The 23,384-nt window shown below is 44.5% G+C and overlaps 1 annotated feature.

Annotated features, from left to right (window-relative positions):
* Positions 7,718-8,012: an enhancer, noted in NCBI's record as "tiled region #12835; K562 Activating DNase matched - State 8:EnhW". NCBI's record gives its function as "activates a minimal TATA promoter and a strong SV40 promoter by Sharpr-MPRA in K562 cells {active_cell/tissue: K562}" and the evidence as "EXISTENCE:reporter gene assay evidence [ECO:0000049][PMID:27701403]".

The following is a 23,384-nucleotide window of genomic DNA, read 5'->3' on the forward strand; positions in this document are numbered from 1 at the left end:
CCCTGGACAGCCTGGCCCTCTCCCCAACACCCTAAGGGGAAATGGCCACCCACAGCTCTCCAGTTTGCATATTCTCGATTTAGAGGAATGGCCCAGATGGACCAGAGTCCTTAAATCCCTTTCCAAGGAAGAGACTGAGGTCACTCCAACATGCTTCCAGCCTCTGCTTCTTGACCACTGGAAGATAAGGACAAGGATGTGAAGTTTCTGCATTTGTATCACCAAAAACATCACTGGAGTTCCTAGGGACTGTGGTGGCCACCCCGAGATTTCCCTGCCCTTGGTGCCTGGTGGAGAGCTGAGCCCTGGAGAGGATGGAGGCTGGGAAGGGGGCTGTGGTGTTGTGATGGGGTCAGTCTCCCTCTTACCTCCGGAGCCACACACCCTTTGCCATTCACCACTGTTTTCTCTTTTTTGTTCTTGATTAACATTGCCAAAATTTAAGTCATTTTACATTTTTTCAAAAGAGCCATTCCTTATATTAAAAATTCTACTCTAGGCCGGGCACAGTGGCTCACACCTGTAATCCCAGCACTTTGGGAGGCCAAGGCAGGTGGATCACCTGAAGTCAGTAGTTTGAGACCAGCCTGGCCAGCATGGTGAAACCCCTACTAAAAATACAAAAATTAGCTGGGCGTGGTAGCGCACGCCTGCAATCCCAGCTACTTAGGAGGCTGAGGCATGAGAATTGCTTGAAGCTGGGAGATGGAGGTTGCAGTGAGCGAAGATTGTGCCACCACACTCCAGCCTGGGCAATGGAGTGAGACTCTTGTCTCAAAAAAATAAAAATAAAAATAAATTCTACTCTAGTTCTTTTATCTAATTTATTGTTTCCTGATTTTGTCTCCATTTTTCTTTTTCTTAGCTTTATTGTATTGGTTTTCTAGCTTTTAAGGGATGCTAAGTTCATTTCTTTTTACCCTCTCTTGCCTAATAATGGAAACACTTCATTCCCATCCTCAGAGCAAAGGTTCAGCTGTGTCTCTCATAAGTTTTGGAGCTTCCTGTTTTCCAAGTTGCTAACTTCTAAGGATGCTGGAACTGTTATTATATTTGTGTTTCTTTCTGGACAGAAGGGGCACCTAAAAGGCTTGTTTAACTTCCAGGGTTTGAGTGTTTAAAATCGACCTTTTGTAGCTGATTTCTAGTTTTGTTACATTGTCGTCAGAAAATGTGCCTTGTGGCCCATCCTGCTGCATGGAACTAAATTTTCTTGTTGTGCCTATTTCATGGGTTCTTGGATAAGATGATCATACACAGGCCAGAACGTTCCATGGCTCTACGTCAATCTTATTACAATGCCTCTAACTCTTTTGTTTTTCCTATTTGACCAAAGATGGAGAATGGTGTGTTAAACCATCTCATTATGATTTTCCTTAGGATAATTTATTCTTGAATTTCTTCTAGTTTGCTTTATACATTTCAACCTCAGTAATTTGCTACATCTATGTTATTGATATCAACATCTTCATTGTCAATTATAGTTTCTGTACCGTTAATATTCTGACCTGAGGCCAGGTGTGGTGACTCACTCCTGTAATTCTAGTTCTTGGAGAGTGCCAGGTCCAACCCGCAGACCCTGCTGAACGAAGGATGAACAAATGCACTCAGACACAGATATCCAGTGAAAGAGCAGGCTAGGGGACCGGGCCACCCACAGACACCGAGGAGGGTGCTATAAAGAGTCAGCAGCTGTGGCCCTCACAAGCTGGCCCTGTGAGCATTTATTCAGCACAGATTTAATGACAAAGGCTTTGAGTCAACACACTTGTTGGTAATTAACATGGTTGCCTTCCCCAGAGAGAGCAGTCCTGCACATGGATGATTAAAGGCCAGGTTCCAAGGCCTAAGTAAACTAACTTATCCAGATCAATTTCTTTACATCCCCTTGCTATCTAACCTAAGTTCTTAAGAGAATTCAGCTGCCTTCAGCCAAATTTTCTTTCGAAGCTTTGCAAACCCCTGGCCTTCCAAGAAGGTTTGCATCTTCTACAATTTTGCCACCACCCCAATCTCCTACAGGGGAGGTCAAGGCAGGAGGATTGCTTGAGCCCAGGAGTTTGACATCAACCTAGGCTACATGGTGAAACCCCATCTCTACAAAAAGTACAAAAGTTAGCTGGGCATGGTGGCACACACTTGTAGTCCCAACTACTCAGGAGGCTGAAGTGGGAGGATCACTTGAGGTCGAGGCTACAGTGAGCTGTGATTGCACCATCACACCACTGCACTCCAGCCTGGGTGACAGAGACCCTGTGTCAAAAAAAAAAACTTTGACCTAAATCTATATCGCATATTAATAACATAAGCCCAGTTTAAAAAACTGCATCTATCTAATATTCATTCATTCATTCATTCAAATATTTGAGCACTTGCCACATGCCAGGCACTATGCCTGGTGCTGGGGACAGAGTGTTGAATGGAACCACAATGTTCCTGTCTTCACAGAGCTCCTAGTGAAGGACAGAGACCATGATCAAATTTAGCAACAATGTAGCAACAATGTAAGACTCGCAGTCTCACACACACACACACACACACACACACACAAGCATCCATGTACCATTATATGCTGTCATGCACACTTTCACACATGCACACAGCCATACACTGCCACACACATACTTGCACACAGCCATACACTGCCACACACATACTTGCACACATTCATCTTTAGCCAGTAAAAATATGCCTGGAGGATGGATTATGAGGAAGGGAATTGTGGGGCTGAAAGTCATGGGCATTTAAAATTGACCAGAACTGCCACATTGACACTCTCCAAAGACAGTACAATTATTGTAAGTACCAACAGAGCAGGAACAGAGCAGGAATGCTTCTCTCCCACACCTTTATAAACACAGAACTTTTGTGTGTGTGTGTGTGTGTGTGTGTGTGTGATAGAGTCTCACTCTGTCACCCAGGCTGGAGTGCAGTGGTGTGATCTCTGCTGACTGAAACCTGGATCACTTGAGGCCAGGAGTTTGAGACCAGCCTGACCAACATGGTGAAACTCTGTCTCTACTAAAAATACAAAAACTGGTGGGGCACGGTGGCTCACGCCTGTAATCCCAGCACAGGAGGGAGGCCAGGGCAGGCAGATCACCTGAGGTCAGGAGTTCCAGACCAGATGGCCAACATGGGGAAACCCCATCTCTACTAAAAATACAAAAATTAGCCAGATGTGGGTGGCATGCACCTGTAGTCCCAGCTACTCAGGAGGCTGAGGGAGGAGAATCAGTGGAACCCAGGAGTCAGAGGTTGCAGTGAGCCGAGATTGTGCCACTATACTCCAGCCTGGGCGACAGAGTGAGACTCCATCTGAAAATATAAATAAAAAAATAAAAATACAAAAATTAGCCGGGCGTGGTGGCGCACGCCTCTAGTCCCAACTACTTGGGAGGCTGAGGCATGAGAATCGCTTGAACCCGGGAGGCAGTGGTTGCAGTGAGCCAAGATCATGCCACTGCACTCCAGCCTGGGCAACAGAGTGAGACTCAGTCTCAAAGAAAAAAATATATATCTGATTGTTAAAAACAGCCCAGCATCTCCTCCTGTCGCTCTTGCTCCCTTTCTGTCCAGTTGACACACCTGCTCCCCCATCACCTCTGCAGTGAGTGGAAGCTTCCTGAGGCCTTACCAGAAGCAGATGCCAGTGCCATGCTTCCTATACAGCTTGCAAAACTGCGAACCAAATAAACCCCTTTTCTTTATAAATTACCCAGCCTCAAGTATTTCTTTGCAGCAGTGCAAGACAGACTTAAGACACTGGTCCAGTAGGTGACGGTAACATTTTTGTTGGTTTATTTTATATTTTTTTAACTCATAAACCTAAGCACCTTTCAACCTAGATTTGTCTTATCTATTTTTAGAAGCCCTTTACACATGCTGAGTATTAACACCTTGTCATATGTCACAAATATGTTTAGCTATATTGATGGCGTGGTGTGTATATAAGTTATAAAATTTGAGGTGCCCTCTTTTTTTCTTCCGTTACCTCTAGATTTCTTTCCACCTCTCAGATGATGAAAATATGCCCCCCGTTTTCCGCTGCTACTTTAGCAATTCTTTTACTTTTGGGTTTTTAGCCCAGCCAGACTTTTGTTAATAATAGGAAGGCAGAGACAAGATTTCTCGCCAAATGGACAGGCAATTGTCCTGGCAACATTTATTGACTAATCAATGAGGCAGTTCGCCAAAAGTAAAATACTATTACCAGAGCAAGGGTAGAGAAGAGGGATGTTGGATAGTGGAAAAAATGAACGTCCATTCTTCTGCATAAAATTTTCCTTCCAAATCTCAAATCTCAGAGCCTATGTTCTTTCTTTTCTTTTCTTTTCTTTTCTTTTTCTTTTTCTTTTTTTGAGGCAGAGTCTCGCTCTGTCACCCAGGCTGGAGTACAGTGGCTCGATCTTGGCTCACTGCAACCTCTGCCTCCCAGGTTCAAGTGCTTCTCCTGCCTCAGCCTCCCGAGTAGCTGAGGTTACAGGTGCCCACCACCACACCTGGCTAATTTTGTATTTTTAGAAGAGACAGGGTTTTGCCATGTTGGCCAGGCTGGTCTCAAACTCCTGACCTTAGGTGATCTGTCTGCCTCAGCTTCCCAAAGTGCTGGGATTACAGGCGTGAGCCACCATGCCTGGCCTCGGAGCCTATAATCTGAGAGAAAACTGTAACTATGTGGTAATGAGCCGCATCCAGCCAATAAAGAGCTTGCTTTATTTAGAGAAGACAGACTTTGTTTCATGGAGGAGGCCAGGCTTCCGAACTGAGTCCGGGATGCAAGGAGGTGGCCACCCAGTCATGAGCAGAGGCGCTGGTTCTCAGGAAAAAAAATACCCCGGGAGTGAAGGGGGCCAATACAGCATGTGTGCTGTGAGGAACTCTCCATGGTGACCAATTTAATACAAAGCCAAATCCTATGTTTTGATGTCTTGAATAGCTTGCCTTGAAGAGAAAGGTTGCCATGGTAACTCTTTCAAAGACAATGTCTTCACCATAGACCAGTTGTTTAACCTGCAGAGAACAATCTTTTTCTCTGTGATGACAATTAAAATCCAACAAGGAGGTTGAACTCAGCAGCACCAGTATGGTCTCCACAGGGAGACCTTCACTAAAAATGGCAAAACAGGCCAGGCGTGGTGGTTCACACCTGCAATCCCAGCACACTGGGAGGCTGAGGTAGGAGGATTGCTTAAGCCCAGGAGTTTGAGACTGCAGTGAGCTATGATTGCATCACTCCACTCCAGCCTGGGCACCAGAGCAAGACCGTGTCTCAAAAAATCAAAACAAAACAAAATAATAAGACACTCCAGTGAACAGTATTGGCAAGATCAAAAACATTTTTTATAGATGACATAAATGCTGTATTGGATTCTTTTTGAATCAGCCTCTAGACAGGTCAGGAAAGAACAATTACAAGAGGGAAAATGTAAATGTTTTTACCTTGAACATATGAAAAAGTAAAAAGTCCACCTAACAGAAATTGGGAAATGTAGGTAGAAGGAGAGGGAAGGCAAGTTAGAGGGGGTTGATGTCTTCCCTCCCCATGGGGACAGGTTTAGAGATGCTACTGAACATCAATGGAACAAGACACAGAGGTTGAAGTGAGTTATTTGATGTTGCAAAGTCAGCCACCATCACCAACACCAACAAAATATAAACAGGAAGAGGGAAGAGGGTGTATTAGTCTGTTTTCACAGTGCTATAAAGAAATACCCGAGACTGGGTAATTTATAAAGGAAAGAGGTTTAATTGACTCACAGTTAAACATGACTGGGGAGGCCTCAGGAAACTTACAATCATGGTGGAAGGGAAGGGGGAAGCAAGGTCCTTCTTCACATGGCAGCAGGAGAGAGAAGTGCAAGCAGGGGAAATGGCAGATGCTTATAAAACCATCAGATCTCTTGAGAACTCACTCGCTTTCTTGAGAGCAGCATGGGAGAAACCACCTCCATGATCCAGTCACTTCCTACTAGGTCCCTCCCTTGACATGTGGGGATTATGGGGATTAAGATTCAAGATGAGATTGTGGGGACACAGAACCAAACCATATCAGAAGGGAATGGGGTGAGAGCACGCAATCTTCATTTTTCACATTAGACAGTGTTTTGAGAACCCCCAGTGAAATCGAGGTTATAGCACCAGAGTGGCTAGCAACCCTGCCCTAGGGAGATGCAGAGGAGCTGGGCGTGGGTGTCTAGAGTGTGCGTCTCTTTTTAAAAAATTTTTTTATTATTTTTATTAAGTTGAGATGGTGTCTCGCTATGTTGCCTAGGGTGGTCACGAACTCCTGGCCTCAAGCCATCCTCCCACCTCAGCCTCCCAAAGTGCTGGGACTACAGGCGAGTCATCATGCCCAGCCTAGACTGTGCCTTTCATGGGATACTTCTTTTACCCAGTGGACAGTAACCAGAAGGTCCTTTGCATGGGAAGCTTGTTTACCCAGCGGACAGTGACCAGAATGTTCTTTGCATGGGAAGCTTGTTTACCCAGCGGATACTGACCAGAAGTTCCTTTGCATGGGAAGCTTGTTTACCAGCGGATACTGACCAGAAGTTCCTTTGCATGGGAAGCTTGTTTACCAGCGGATACTGACCAGAAGTTCCTTTGCATGGGAAGCTTGTTTACCCAGCAGAGTGTGACCAGAAGGTTTTTTGCATGGGAAGCCTATTTACCCAGCGGACAATGACCAGAAGGTCCTTTGCATGGGAAGCTTGTTTCCTGAGGCCTCCCAACCAGTGGACGTCCTGGTGGCTGTTGTCTGAGCTCTGTCCAGCTTATGCCTGCCTGACCATTGCTCTGGCACTGGGAGTCCAACCTCATGTTCCCAGCATCCCGGGGAAACGCAGCCTGGGGAAGCCCCCGGTTCTTCAGCTGGAAGGTGCAAATTCCATCCACCACCAGGGTAGGGAGCAGACCCTAGGCAAGGAGGGCACAATATGTGGGAGGGCAGGTCACACAGACCGGAATGAAGAGTCAGGCAGAGAGAGGAGAGAGAGAGATGCGGCTCACGGTGTATACATAAGGGAATGGAGCATGGGTCACTTTAAGTTCTTGGGAAAATGTCTGAATGCTCCACTTATTTATTTTTATTTCAAGAGTTTTTGGGCCAGGCGCTGTGGCTCACGCCTGTAATCTCAGCACTTTGGGAGGCCAAGGTGGGCAGATCACTTGAGGTCAGTAGTTCAAGACCAGCCTGGCCAACATGATACAACCCTGTCTCTACTAAAAATACAAAAATTAGCCAGGCATAGTGGGCACATGCCTGTAATCCCAGCTACTTGGGAAGCTGAAGCAGGATACTCGCTTGAACCCGGGGTGGGGCGTGGCAGGGGGGTAGAGGTTGTAGTGAGCTGAGATGACGCCACTGCACTCCAGCCTCCAGAGCGACAGAGCGAGACTCCGTCTCAAAAAAAAAAAGTTTTTGGGGTACAGGTGGTTTTTGGTTTTGGTTACATGAATAAGTACTTTAGAGGTGATTCCTGAGATTTTAGTCCACACAGTGTACACTGTACCCAATATGTAGTCCTTTATCCCTCACCCCCTCCCAACTTCCCCATCCCTGAGTCCCCAAAATCCATTATATCACTCTCATGCCTTTGCATCTTCATAGCTTAGCTCCCACTTCTAAGTGAGAACATGTGGTATTTGGTTTTCCATTCCTGAGTTACTTCATTTAGGTTAAATAGCCTCCAGCTCGATCCAGGTTGCTGCAAAAGACATTTTTCATTCCTTTTTATGTCTGAGTGGTTGAATGGTGTATTTAAAGGAAGCAACGAGAGAAAGTGGGGAGGCAGTCTGCTGGGCAGGGGAGAGATGCCTCTAAGTTCTTATCTCTGGCCACTGGCTTGAGCCATTTGGGTGTGGCAGTCAACTTCGAATGCCCAGGGAGCAACTTTTGCTGTGTTCTTTCATTGCGGGGAGTCAGTCTATGGAACAGAGCCACAGCTGTATTAATTACAGTTGTGACATAAACACTAGAAAAACTAGCACATGGCATAAAGTGACTCAGAGAGGAAAAGAGAGAGAGACAGGGGACCATTTCTCTTATGAGCAATTCTCTATTACTTAAGTTTCAACCATATGCATACATTGATAAAACAATTTTAATGTTTCACTGAAGACCACTGCATGACATCTAAACATGTCTGATAATACTCAGTAGGTGAATTTACCAGTTTTAAAAAGACTTGATCAACACGAAGGAAAGGGGTAACAACAGACTGAGAGACGAAACAGCATCTCCATCGTGGGCCATGTACGGCCCTTACCTGGAAACTGCTGGCAACAGACAAACTGAAAAACCACTAGAGTCATCTGAGCACTTGCTGATTTCACACTAAGGCATTGTAAAGAGCAGGAGATTGATGGGATAGTGGTTCTCTGAATTTGTTTTTTTCTTTTTTTAAGAGTCGTGGTCTTGGCCAGGCGCAGTGGTTCACACCTGTAATCCCAGCACTTTGGGAGGCCAATGTGGGCAGGTTGCCTGAGATCAGGAGTTTGAGACCATCCTGGCCAACATGCTGAAATCCTGTCTCTACTAAAAATACAAAAATTAGCCAGATGTGGTGGTGCATGCCTGTGATCCCAGCTACTAGGGAGGCTGAGGCACAAGAATTGCTTGAGCCTGGGAGGCGGAGGTTGCGGTGAACCAAGATTGTGCCACTGCACTCCAGCCTGGGCAACACAATGAGACCCTGACACACACACACACACACACACACACACAAAAGAGTCATGATCGTGCTCTGTCACCCAGGCTAGAGTGCGGTGGCATGATCATAGCTCACTGCAGCCTCAAACTCCTAGGCTCAAGTGATCCTCCTGCCTTAGCCTCCTGAGCGACTGGGACTACAGGCATGTTCCACCATACCCGGCTAATTTTTAAATTTTTGGTAGAGATGAGGGTCTCACTATGTTGCCCAGGCTGGTCTCAAACTCCTAGCATCAAGTGATCCTCCCCTCTTGGCCTCCCAAAGTGCTGGGATTATAGGCATGAGCTACCATGCCTGGCCCAATTTTTTTTAACTAGTCCTTATTTTTTAAGAATACGTACTGAAATATTTACAGATGAGATGGTACGATGTCTGGGATTACTTCCAAGCCATCCAGTGGGAGGAGGGTAAGGATGGAACCAAACTGGCTGTAAGCTGATAATGTGGGGTTCATCATACTATTTTCTCGACTTGTGTCTATGTGTGAAATTTCCTATATTAAAGACAGACACAGAATAGGAATGTATACACTAAATGGCAACAGTATACATTTTGACATCTTGGATTTTTAAAAATTAAATACACGCTGTTCAGTTTTTAAGTAAAGCCCTAATTTGGGCAGATTCTCCCCTTCTAAGGGATTTGAACACAAATTTCTGAACCCTAGGGTTGGAGTATGAGTATTGCTGGCTCCTTCGTGTTTTTTGACAGGGAGAAACCAACAGTGCACAAAATGGTGACTGTCACCAGACACTGAATCTGCCAGCACCTGGATCCTGGACTTCCTAGCCTCCAGAACAGTGAGGAATAAATTCATTGTGTTCTGCAAAGCTCCAAGGACCTCCTGAAATAGTCCTGAGTCCCTCTCAGCCTGGTGTAGCACCCAATTCAGTTGTCTGGCTGGTTTGTGGTGCCAGGCCAAGACACCACTTTGGGTGGGGAGGAGAAAGAGAATGAAGTAGGAGGGGAGGGCGTGAGCCATGATTTGGGAGAGAGAATCAGACAGTCAGCCAGAAAGACGCATACAGTAGGCACTTAATAAATGTTTGCCTGGATAGACAGGAACCGAAGTACAGGCGCTGAAGAAAGGCAGTAACTTTTTCCCATGGATGGGAGTTCTGCTGCAAAAGGACATAATAAAAATCGACATGATAATTGCTGTGATCTGAAAGTGTGTGTCCTCCTCCAAATTTGCATGTTGAAATCCTAACTCCCAAAGTGATGGTATGAGGAGGTGGGGCTTATTTGATCTGGAGGGTGGAGGCCGCTAGGAAACTGGCTCTGACTGATAAGGCCTTCAGGATTGGGATGAGTGCCTTTATAAAAGAGACCACAGCCTGTAATCCCAGCACTTTGGGAGGCTGAGATGGGCGGATTGCTTGAGGTCAGGAGTTCCAGACCAGCCTGGCCAACACAGTGAAACCCTGTCTCTACCAAAAAATACAAAAATTAGCCAGGTGTGGTGGCACGTGCCTGTAGTCCCAGCTACTCAGGAGGCTGAGGCAGGAGAATCACTTGAACCTGGGAGGCAGAGGTTGCAGTGAGCAGAGATCAGCCAATGCACTCCAGCCTGGGTGACAGAGCAAGACTCTGCCTCGGAAAAAAAAAAAGAAAGAGAGAGAGAGAGATCATAGAGATCCAGCTAGCCTGTTTCATAATATGAAGGCACAGCAGGAAGGCGCCACCCATGAGGAAGCTGACCATCACCAGATACTGAATCTGCCAGCATCTTGATCTTGGACTTCCCAGGCTCCAGAACCAATAAATTTCTGTTGATAGTACCCAGTTTATGGTATTTTTATAGCAGCCTGAACAGACTAATACAGTTTCCTACAAAAAAACCAAGGATTTTGTAATGGGAATGAATGCGAAGATACCAAATATTCCTGTGCTCTTCTGAGAGTCATTCTTGCTCAAAGAGCCTGAAGAGTTTCCATGACTCTTGTCTAAACTTATTTCTAATCCCTGATTGTTTATCTTTTAGGATTTCCATATTATTTTTCTACTGCATTTGTTTGTTGATTTGACAGTGTGACCACAGCAGCCTAGCCACATGTCAAAAAGGCAGCCACAATCATAAGTCAAAGGAATTTAAGAAACAGCCAGGCACGGTGGCTCACGCCTGTAATCCTAGCACTTTGGAAGGCTGAGGCAGGTGACTCACTTAAGGTCAGCTAATCGCCTGAGGTTAGGCGTTGGAAACTAGCCTGGCCAACATGGTGAACCCCCGTCTCTACTAAAAATACAAAAACTAGCCGGGCGTGGTGGCGGGTGCCTGTAATCCCAGCTACTCAGGAGGCTGAGGCAGGAGAATCGCTTGAACCTAGGAGGCAGAGGTTTCAGTGAGCCCAGATTGTGCCACTGCACTCTAACCTGGGAGACAGAGTGAGACTCTGTCTCAAAAAAAAAAAAAAAAAAAAGTGAGGCCAGGTGCGGTGGCTCACTCCTATAATCTCAGTACTTTGGGAGGCCAAGGCAGGCAGATCGCTCGCAAGTTTGAGACCAACCTGGGCAACACGATGAAACCCCATCTCTATAAAAAATACAAAAATTAGTTGGGCATGGTGGTACATCTTTAGTCCCAGCTACTTGGGAGACTGAGGTGGGAAGATTGCTTAAGCTTGGGAGGCGGAGGTTGTAGTGAGCTGAGATTGTGCCACTGATCTCCAGCCTGGGCAACAGAGCCAGACCTTGACTCAAACACCAAAAAAAAAAAAAAAAAAAAAGAAAGAAAATGTGACTTTTTTTTTTTTTTTTGAGATGAAGTCTCACTCTGTCGCCCAGGCTGGAGTGCAGTGGCACGATCTCGGCTCACTGCAACCTCTACATCCCAGGTTCAAGCGATTCTCCTGCCTTAGCCTCCTGAGTAGCTGGGATTACAGGCATGTGCCCCCACGCCTGGTTAATTTTTGTTTTTTTAGTAGAGACGGGGTTTCACCATGTTGGTCAGGCTGGTCTCGAACTCCTGGCCTTGTGAGATCCGCCTGCCTCAGCCTCCCAAATTGATAAGATTACAGGCGTGAACCACCGCGCCCGGCCAATGTGACTTATAAGTAATCGGAAAAGGCATTGCAGACATGGCAAGATTCTGTGTAAATTGCTTTAGCTGAAATTAGACACTCAATTAGGCACTTAATTACCCTGAAGCCTTATTGATGCCCTATTAGAAGTGGCCCCACCCACTAGAATCAAGTGGAGATGACAGGTCGGCTCCCTGTAGTGGTGCCAGAAGCAAGACTGATACAGCAACCACAGGCAGCATTCAATCCACAGCTCCCAGGCCTCCTGGCCTCCTGTTTTCCTGATCACACCACTCACTGCACGAGCATTTTCCATCTGAGATCCTCTCAAATCTGAATTTTAAATGTGGGTTTCCTTTCAGGACTGCAAGCAGACAGTCACTCTGCATGGCCCCACTGTAAGGATGTCAACCTTTAGCGGCAGCTTGGACCTTCAAGGGGTCATCAGCAGAGCCGCACTGATCAGCTGCTCGGAGTCCAGCTCTGACTGATGAAGTCAGCTAATGGTCCACGCGCCCCTTCTCATTAATAACTCACCTCCATGGGCAGCTGGGTCCAGGTCTCTGCCCCTGGTATCACATTATATGATAATTATATTCAGATTAGTTTTTCATATCCTTTGGACAGAGACATGCTAATTTGGGTACTTAGACATTAAAATCTTATAAAGTTCTCGAGTGATTTTAAGTCCAAGTTCTTAAATGGGATGCCTTATTGGAAAGAAAACATGTAGCTATCAGCTTCCTATCAAGAACTGACTCCTGGCCAGGTGCAGTGGCTCACATCTGTAATCCTAACACTTTGGGAGGCTGGGGTGGGAGAATCACTTGAGGCCAGGAGTTTGAGACCAGCCTAAGCAACACAGTGAGACGCTGTCTCTACCCCCGCAAAAAAAATGTAATTAAAAACAAAATAGTCAGGCATAGTGGTGCCTGCCTGTAGTTCCAGCTACTTGGAAGAATGGGGCAAGAGGATTGCTTGAGCCTAGGAGTTCAAGGATGCAATGAGCTGTGATTGTGCCACTGCACTCCAGCCTGGGTGACAGAGCGAGACTCTGTCCCTTAAAAAAATGCCGATTCCTGGGTAGATAGGCAACTGACTTTGATCAGACGCTCTCCTATGGGTGGGGATGCTGTCTCACAACAGATTCAGCACCATATTTTATTTTATTTTTTTGAGACGGAGTTTTACTCTTGTTGCCCAGGTTGGAGTGCAGTCGCGTGATCTGGGCTCACTGCAACCTCTACCTGCCGGGTTCAAGTGATTCGCCTGCCTCAGCCTCCCAAGTAGTTGGAATTACAGGCACAAGCCACCACCCCTGGATAATTTTTTTTTTTTTTTGTATTTTTAGTAGAGAGTTTCACCATGTTGGCCAGGCTGGTCTCAAACTCCTGACCTCAAGTGATCCACCCGCCGCAGCCTCCCAAAGTGCTGGGATTATGGGTGTGAGCCATCACGCCCGGCCCAGCATCTTATTTTAAACGGTCCATCAGAGGAAGACAAATACTATATGATCTCACCTACATGAGGAATCAAGAAAAGTCAAACTCATAGAAACAGAGAGTAAAATGGTGGCTTGCAGGGGCTGGGGTGGGAGATATGGGGAGACGCCAAAGGGCCGCAAACCTTCAGTTACAAGATGAATCCATTCTGGAGACCAACCAGACAGCATGGCAAGGACAGTTCATAATAACATACTGCATCCCTGAAATTTGCTAAGAGAGTAGATCCTAGATGTTCTCACGACACACACACACAAATGATAACCAGGTTAGGTGACAGATCGGTTAACTAACTTAGCTGTGGTCATCATTTCACAATACAGCTGACTCTTGAACAACATAGGTTTGAACTGCATGGGCCCACTTACACGAAGATTTTCTTTATTTTATTTTATTTTATTATTTTATTTTATTTTATTTTTCGAGACGGAGTCTCTCTCTTTGGAGTGCCATGGCACGACCTTGGTTCACTGCACCTCCGCCTCCCAGGTTCAAGTGACTCTCCTGCCTCAGCCTCCTGAGTAGCTGGGATTACAGGCGCCTGCCACCACACTCGGCTAATTTTTGTATTTTTAGTCGAGACGGGGTTTAGCCACGTTGGCCAGGCTGGTCTCGAACCAGGATCACCTGACCTCAGATGATCCACCCACCCCAGTCTCCCAGGGTGCTGGGATTACAGCTGTGAACCACTGCGCCCAGCCTACAGGAAGATTTTCTTCTGCCTCTGCTACCCAAGCTAGCAAGACCAACCCCTCTTCTTCCTCCTCCTCCTACTCGGCCTACTCAACATGAAGACAAGGATGAAGACCTTTGTGATGAACTACTTCCACTTCATGAATAGTAAATGTATTTTCCTTATGATTTTCTTAATAACATGTTCTTTTCTCTAGTGTACATTATTGTAAGAATATGATATATGATACGCACACAAAATATGCATTAACCATTTATGTGATTAGTAAGGCTTCTGGTAAACAGTAGGCTATTAGTAGCTTTGTGGTTTCTGCTTTTTGTTTTGTTTTTGTGTTTTTTTGGAGACAGAGTCTCGCTCCATCAGCCAGGCTAAAGTGCAGTGGCGCAATCTCAGCTCACTGCAACCTCGGCCTCTGGAGTTCAAGCAATTCTCCTGCTTCAGCCTCCCAAGTATCTGGGATCACAGGTGCGCACCCCTGTGCCCAGATAATTTTTGTATTTTTAGTTTCACCATGTTGGCCAGGCTGGTCTCCAACTCCTGACCTCAGCTAATCCACCTGCCTTAGCTTCCTAAAGTGCTGGGATTACAGATGTGAGCCACCGCACCCAGCCTGCTTCAGTTAAGTTCTGCCTGGTGATCATTCTTGTCAATTCTCATTGCATTTCCCTCACTTAATGGAGACCATGTTTGTGTCTGTCTCTGTTTCAGTCTCGGTCTCTCTTTCTGTCTCTCTCCCTCACCCTTTCTCTCCATGAATTCCCATAGGCTGAAGTTATTCCACCACTGAAGTCTTAACTCCAGCGTCCACTCTCCAAGCACTGCCTCCTGATCCCCAGCTCCCATTCCCACTTGTGCTCCATTCACCTCCATCTCCCCTACTCTGCCCTAGGAGGACTTCCCCCACCTCCTGGCTCTGCTCTCTTCCCTGCCAGACGCGGACAGCCACTAGAAGTCCGTGGTCCCCAGCCCCAGATGGGCCTTCAGCACAAGCATCCCTTCCACTGCCATCCCATACGCCAGGGGAGCAGACTGTGGCTCTTGAGATCTGTGATTAGTCAAAACTCTTTCAGGGCCAGTTGCAGTGGCTCACGCCTTTAATCCCAGCACTCTGGGAGGCCAAGACGGGTGGATCACCTACGGTCAGGAGTTTGAGACCAGCCTGGCCAACATGGTGAAACCCCATCTCTACTAAAAATACACAAATTAGCTGGGCATGGTGGCATGCACCTGTAGTCCCAGCTACTTGGGAGGTTGAGGCAGGAGAATCGCTTGAACCCGGGAGGCAGAGGTTGCAATGGGCCAAGATCGCACCATTGCACTTCAGCCTGGGTGACAGAATGAGACTCCATAAAAAAAAAAACAAAAAAAAAACCTTTTTAGGATAAATTTTCTCATGAAAAAAATTTGTATATGTAAGCTTGAAAGTCAACTGACAGTAGGCAGATAGTAGTTTATGAGCCATAAGGCATCTCAGCCCCATCAATAATAAGAGTGTACTTCCGACACCAAAATAGATATAGAGACCAATGTCATTGGGAGCTAGAATTCTGCGTGTGGTTTGTGATTAACTTGGTGGACGAAATTCTCCTTTAAAGTCGTAAAGTTCCATGAAGTCTCAGTCTCAAGGTCAGGAATCTTGGTATCCTAATTTTCTGTAGCGAGCTGTGGGGGAAGCGGCATTCTGTTCCTACATGCATTGTTCTACCAGCAAAAATCCAGTCTTAGCAAACACAAAATATTTCTTTTTCTTCCTTGTTTTTTTGAGACAGTCTTGCTCTGTCTCTGATATTACGATGTCTTTTCTTAAAAATAAAATAACAAAATATTCTTATGCTATAGGTTTGACTTTTGTGCATAGGGTCACACCTCTATTAGCCCACTTAAAAGAAATAGAAGTCGAAAAAAAAAAAAAACTAGAAAAGAAAAAGGTGAATGTGGCCGGGCACGGTGGCTCATGCCTGTAATCCCAGCACTTTGGGAGGCCGAGGCAGGCGGATCACCTGAGGTCAGGAGTTTGAGACCTTCCTGGCCAACATGGCGAAACTCCGTCTCTACTAAAAATACAAAAATTAGCCAGGCATGGTGTCGCCCTCCTATCATCCCAGCTACTCGGGAGGCTGAGGCAAGAGAATCACTTGAACCCCAGGAGGCAGAGGTTACAGTGAGCTGAGATCGGGCCACTGTACTCCAGCCTGGGTGACAGAGTGAGACTCCGTCTCAAAAAAAAAAAAAAAAAAAAAGAAAAGAGAAAGAAAGAAAAGAAACAGGTGAATGGAAACTACCCAACCCAGTTCTGGCAGGACTGTTAACGGCCCAGACCCTTCAGGAATGAAGGTTTGGGTCACATCACAAGGCCAGAAGTCACCGGCTGAGATTCTTGCTGAGGACCAAGAGAGTGGAAAGAGTAGTGGAAGAAACTATCTAAACACCAGCTTGAGCCACACGGCTAGTGGAAACAAACAATCAAAAGAACAACACACAACACAAAACAATTTAAGGCCTATAGTTAGCAGAGTATGTTTTCCTTGCCTTGAAATGAATGCATATATGATATTTCCCTTTCTCATTCCCCCCGCCTTTTTTGGGGGCGGGGGTGGGGGGACAGAGTTTCGCTCTGTCACCCAGGCTGAAGTGCAGTGGCACGATCTCAGCTCACTGCAACCTCCATCTCCCAGGTTAAGCAATTCTCGTGCCTCAGCCTCATGATTAGCTGGGATTACAGGCTTGCACCATCACGCCCGGCTAATTTTTATTTTTTTTAATTTTTTTTTATTTTTAGGTAGAGACAGGGTTTTACCATGTTGACCAGGCTGGTCTCAAACTGTTGAGCTCAGGTGATCCATTCACCTCGGTCCAAAGTGCTGGGATTACAGGCGTGAGCCACCATGGTTCCCTTCTTATCTAACATAAGATATACTGACAGTAGTTAACCCTATATCTCAGCATTTAAGTTACAGGTTTAAGTTAAGGTATATGTTTGGGTTCTATGAGGGCTAGTTGCATTATGTTAGGTGAAAGCATGATTCTGCCACTGTTTTCATTTGGAACTTAAGGGTGGGGAAAGGAGGTGACTATGCATGCCAAGGTGACCAAGGGGTGGAGTCTGCCAGATTGCAACTTTTCACCTTGGCACCAGCATTCCAGTCTAAGGCTAGGAAATCCATTGCCTGCATGGTCTGGCCGTTAGGGTCGGCCAAGAGCTGAACTCGCGTGAGATTTGAAAGGGTGAAAGCGAAACTGAAGCCCTTACTCTTGGAACGTCCTTTTGGTGGGATTCTTCCTAATTTTAGACCCCACCAACCAACAGTGGGCTCAGTCCAGTGCAGAGAGCAGGGCTGCAGTTCCGGCAAAGCATGGCTTACGCAGACCTCCCCTTCATGCACCAGCTTCCAGAATGTTCCCACAAACTCTGCTCTCCCCAGCCGCACCTGTGTTTCTGGCTGTCATGGTTAGTTAGAGGCTTTCGACACCCACATTCCAGAACTTTAATTTCCTACATTGGTATAAATCTAGTAAGCCGCGTGTTCCCATAAAACATAATTTTTTTTTTTTTGAGACAGAGTCTCGCTCTATCGCCCAGGCTAGAGTGCAATGGCGTGATCTCGGCTCACTGCAACCTCCGCCTCCCGGGTTCAAGCGATTCTCCTGCCTCAGCCTCCCGAGGAGCTATGATTACAGGCATGCGCCACCATGCCTGGCTAATTTTTTATTTTTAGTAGAGATGGAGTTTCGCCATGTTGGCCAGGCTGGTCTCGAACTCCTGACTTCAGGCAGTCCGCCTGCCTTCAGGTGGTTCTGGGATTACAGGCGTGAGCCACTGCGCCTGGCCCATAAAACATAATTAAATAATAAAGAGGCAAAAGAGATGAACAAACAGTTCACAAAAAAGGAACTACAGATGGTTCTTAGACAAATGAAAAGATGTTCAACCTCATTTATTACCACAAAGCAGATGAAAATTTCCTTCAGACACATTTTTCATCTGTCAAACTGGCAAAAATCCATAGGTTTCCTGGCACCCTCTGTGGACAACGCTGTGGGGAAGCTATCTTCCTACAGTGCGGGTGGAAAAGTCCATGAAAGAGTCCTACAGAGGGTGCAGTTAGCGACAGCTGTCACGTTTACATAAGTGGATGAGTGACTTCAGCAATCCAACTTTGCTTTTTTATTCTACAGATATGCATACCAGCACACGTTAAAAGGTATCTATCTGTTCAAGGATTTTTTTTTTTTTTTGAGAGGGGTCTCACTCTTGCCCAGGCTGGAGTGCAGTGGTGCAATCTCAGCTCACTGCAACCTCCCCATCCTGGGTTCAAGTGATTCTCCTGCCTCAGCCTCCTGAGTAGCTGGGATTACAGGCGTGTGCCACCATGCCCGGCTACTTTTTTGTATTTTTAGTAGAGAAGTAGAGATGGGGTTTCACCATGTTGGTCAGGCTGGTCTTGAACCCTGACCTCGTGATCCACCCACCTCGGCCTCCCAAAGTGCTGGGATTACAGGTGTGAGCCACCGCACCCAGCCTCAAGGATATTTACTGCAGGCTTTTTACTACTGTTTGCAGTAGTAAAAACCAAGAAACAATGTAACAATTGTCAAAAGGTAAATAAATTCGGCTGGGCATGATAGCACACAATTGTTCCAGCTACCTGGGAGGCCAAGGTGGGAGGATGCCTTGAGCCTAGGAGCTCAAGGCCAGCCTGGGCAACATAGCAAGACCCTGCCTCTTTTTTAAAAAGTTAAATAAATTGGCTGGGCATGGTAGCTCATGCCTGTAATCCCAGCACTTTGGGAGGCTGAGGCAGGGGAATCACCTGAGCTCAGGAGTTCGAGACCAGCCTGGGCAACATGGAAAAACCTCGTCTCTACTAAAAATACAAAAAATTAGCCAGGTGCGGTGGCAGGAGCCTGTAGTCCCAGCTACTTCAGAGGCTGAGGCACGAGAATCGCTTCAACCCGGGAGGCAGAGGTTGCAGTGAGCTGAGATTGCACCATTGCACTCCAGCCTGGGCGACAGAGTGAGACTCTGTCTCAAAAAAAAAAAAAGTTAAATAAATTAAGATGTGTTCATATACTAGAATGTTATGCAGCTGTGATGAAGAATGAAAGTAAGAACACTGTTTTGCATTGATATGGAAAGGTATCTAAGATATTGCCATGTGAAAAGAAAAAGATGAACAACTATACACAGGGTGTGCATTTTTTTGTAGCAAAGAAAGAAAAAGAAAATATATAATTTGTGTTTGTTAGTGTCTGCATGAATCATTTCTAAAATGAAGCCAATGATAAGAGTGGGAATTAGCAGAAACAGTACATACGGGTAAAGATGGAAGAGAGTTTCTTTGTATATCACTTTTGTTTTATTTTGTTTGAGACGGAGTCTCACACGGTCGCCCAGGCTGGAGTGCAGTGGTGCGATCTTGGCTCACTGCAAGCTCCGCCTCCCGGGTTCACGCCATTCTCCTGCCTCAGCCTCCCGAGTAGCTGGGACTACAGGCGCCCACCACCACGCCTGGCTAATTTTTTGTATTTTTAGTAGAGACGGGGTTTCACTGTGTTAGCCAGGATGGTCTCGATCTCCTGACCTCATGATCTGCCTGCCTCGCCTTCCAAAGTGCTGGGATTACAGGCGTGAGCCACCGCTCCGGCCATGTTTTGTTTTGTTTTTGAGACAGGGTCTTGCTCTGTCGCCCAGAATGGAGTGCAGTGGCATGATCTCAGCTCATTGCAACCTCCTGGGTTCAAGTGATCTTCTCACTTCAGCCGCCAAGTACCTGGGACTACAGGCGTAAAGCCACCACGCCCAACTAATTTTCCTATTTTTTGTAGAGATAGGGTTTCGCCATGTTGGTCAGGCTGGTCTCAAACTCCTCAGCTCAAGCCATCTGCCTGCCTCGGCCTCCCAAAGTGCTGGGATTACAGACATGAGCCATTGTGCTCGGCTGTATACCATTTTTTAAATCGTGTGAATATATTTCTATTCAAAAATTAAATATGCACAAAATCTAACTAGGTGTTGATTTAAGAAAAGCAAGTCTTACTACAATCATATTGACATTCGTTCAAAAAGTTAATTGCAGCCAAGAGTGGTGGCTCAAGCCTGTAATCCCAGCACTTTGAGAGGTGAAGGTGGGAGGATCATTTGAGGCCAGGAGTTCAAGACCGACCTCTGCAACATAGCAAGACCCTGTCTCTATAAAAAAATTTAAAAGTATCTGGGCATGGTGACACATGCTTGTAGTCCCAGTAACTCTCAGGAGGCTGAGGCAGGAGGATCCCTTGAGCCCAGGAGTTTGAGCCTGCAGTGAGCTATGATTGTGTCACTGTACTCCAGCCTGGGCCACAGTGTGAGACCCTGTCTCTAAAACATAAAAAATCCTTTAAAGAAATAAATAGGCCGGGCGTGGTGGTTCACACCTGTAATCCCAGCACTTTGGGAGGCCGAGGCGGGCGGATCATGACGTCAGGAGATCGAGACCATCCTGGCTAACATGGCGAAACCCCATCTCTACTAAAAATACAAAAAATTAGCCAGGCGAGGTGGCAGGCGCCTGTAGTCCCAGCTGCTCGGGAGGCTGAGGCAGGAGAATGGCGTGAAGCCAGCGGGCGGAGCCTGCAGTGAGCAGAGATCGCACCCCTGCACTCCAGCCGGGGAGACAGCGAGACTCCATCTCAAAAGAAAAAAATAAATAAATAAATAAATAAGTAATTGCTCACAAATTCATTATTTTTACTTAAAACTAATCTAATATATTTATATGGAGAAGTGGGGTCACAATTATTTAGCTAGCTTCTTCCTCTCAACCTTTAATTTTAACTATTTTAAACCTTAGTCAGACACTCTTCTCCTACATTCACCACTTACTAATATTTTGCCACATTTCCTTTATTATTATCTACCTATTTAGTCACACTTGCACACAAGCATACACGCACTTTTCTGGGTGAAATTATCTGAGCATTAGTTGTAGACGTCATGACACTTTACCCCTAAATACTGTAGCATGTAGCTCTGAAGAACAAAGACACATTCCTTACACAGCCACAGGTTACTGCAATCAAGAAATTTAACTTTACTATTGACTAATTAGCAGTCTGTATTTAAATTTCCCCAATTATGCCCTTTGTATTTGTTTTTTTCCTTTTTATTTTTTGTTTTTTAGTTTTTATTTTTATTTTATTTTTTTTAGACGAAGTCTCACTCCATCACCCAGGCTGGAGTGCAGTGGCACAATCTCGGCTCACTGCAACCTCCACCTCCCAGGTTCAAGCAATGCTCCTGCCTCAGCCTCCCAAGTAGCTTGGATTATAGGCACGCACCACCACCCTGGCTAGTTTTTGTATTTTTAGTAGAGACGGGGTTTCACCATGTTAGCCACACTGGACTCAAACTCCTGGCCTCAAGTGATCTGCCCACCTCGGCCTCCCACAGTGTTGGGATTATAGGCACAAGCCGATGCGCCCGGCCTATACTTGTTTTAGTTTTGTTTTGTTTTGTTTTGTTTTTGAGACAGAGTCTCTCTCTATCACCAGGCTGGAGTGCTGAGCAATCTCAGCTCACTGCAACCTCCAACTCCGTGGTTCAGACAATTCTCCTATCTCAGCCTCCCGAATAGCTGGGATTACAGGCACATGCCACCACGCCGAACTAATTTTTGTATTTTTAGTAGAGACGGGGTTTCACCATGTTGGCCAGGATTGTCTCGATCTCCTGACCTCATGATCCACCCACTTCGGCCTCCGAAAGTGCTGGGATTACAGGTGTGAGCCACCATGCCCAGCCTGTTTTTTTTCTGATTGACAGTCTGGTCAATGATCACATTGCCTTTAATTGTTACACCTCTTTAGGCTGTTTTAATACACAGCAGTTCCTCAAACCTCTCTTGGTCATTCTTGATATTGACATGTTTATCTGGGCCTGTTATTTTCAGAACGTCCCTAAAATCTGGATTTTCCAAGGTGATTTCTCACGACCAGTCTTAGGTTAAACATTTTTGGCAAAGGTGCTTATAGGTAATGTGCCTTCCACCAGGATGCCAAATGGCCCCATTGTTGGCGGAGAAGCTTGATTATTTGGTTAAGGTTGGTATCTACCAGGTTTCTTCATTGTAAACCCTCTTTCCTCTTGGTAATTAACAAGTCTTTTAAGGTGATACTTTGAGACCACACTCGTGTCTTGTTCCAACAACATATCACTCAATGGTTCCGCATCCACTGATAAATTTTGCCTATATCAATTACAACAAAAGTTTTTGCAAAAAGTGGTTTTCTAGTTTTATCATTTCTTCTACATATATTAATGGCCATTTTCTTTTTGTGTGTGAGGAGTAAGGGGCACTATTATTATAATTCAAAAATATATATAAATATATATTTTATATGTAAATATGTATAAAGAGTATAGTAATAGTTATAAATGTATAACTCAAAATGTATATAAATGTAAATATATATATTTATATATAATATATATAAATTATATATAAATATATATATTTATGTAATATATAATATATTATATTTATATATTTATATTTTATATTTTTATATATAAATATATAATTTATGTATATATTTTATAATTATATATTTATATTTAATATATAATATATAATTTATGTATATATTTTATAATTATATATTTATATTTAATATATAATATATAATATATTTATTTATATATTTATATTTAATATATAATATATTATTTTATATTTAATATATAATATATTATATATTTAAAATTATATAATATATAATATATTATATATTTAAAATAATATTTAATATATAAATATATTTATATATTTATATAATTTATATTTATATTATATATATTATATAAATATATAAATATATAAATTATATATTTCTATATATCATTTATACATAAATTAATATATAAATATATAATTTATATATATAATTATATAATTTATATAATTATATAAATTATATAATTATATAAATTATAAATTTATATATATTTATATGTATAAATATATAAATATATATAAATTTATACATATAAAAATATAAATTTATATATAAATATATATATAAATACAAAATAAATAAATAAATATGTATATGTATATATTTGGAAACAGATCTTGCTCTGTCACCCAGGCTGAAGTGCAGTGGCACAATCACGGCTCACTGCAACATCCAACTCTGGGGCTCAAGGGATCCTCACACCTCAGTCTCCCAAAGTGCTGGGATTACAGGTGCACACCACCATGCCCAGCCTCAAACTGTTTTTTATTTAATGTGTTGTCATTCATTACTGTCATAATTCCTCATGCTCAAAGTGTCCCAGTGGGAATGCCTCCAAGCTAGCTCCTGTGTCCCTCAGACATATTCCCATCAATCGTGAGGCATGTCCTTGCATTTAGAAATAAGACGTTGCGGGCTCAGTGTGTACATTTCTTGCTCCAGATCTGGAATCCACCATTTT

This window comes from Homo sapiens, chromosome 19, assembly GCF_000001405.40.
Source record: "Homo sapiens chromosome 19, GRCh38.p14 Primary Assembly".
Classification (NCBI taxonomy): domain Eukaryota; kingdom Metazoa; phylum Chordata; class Mammalia; order Primates; family Hominidae; genus Homo; species Homo sapiens.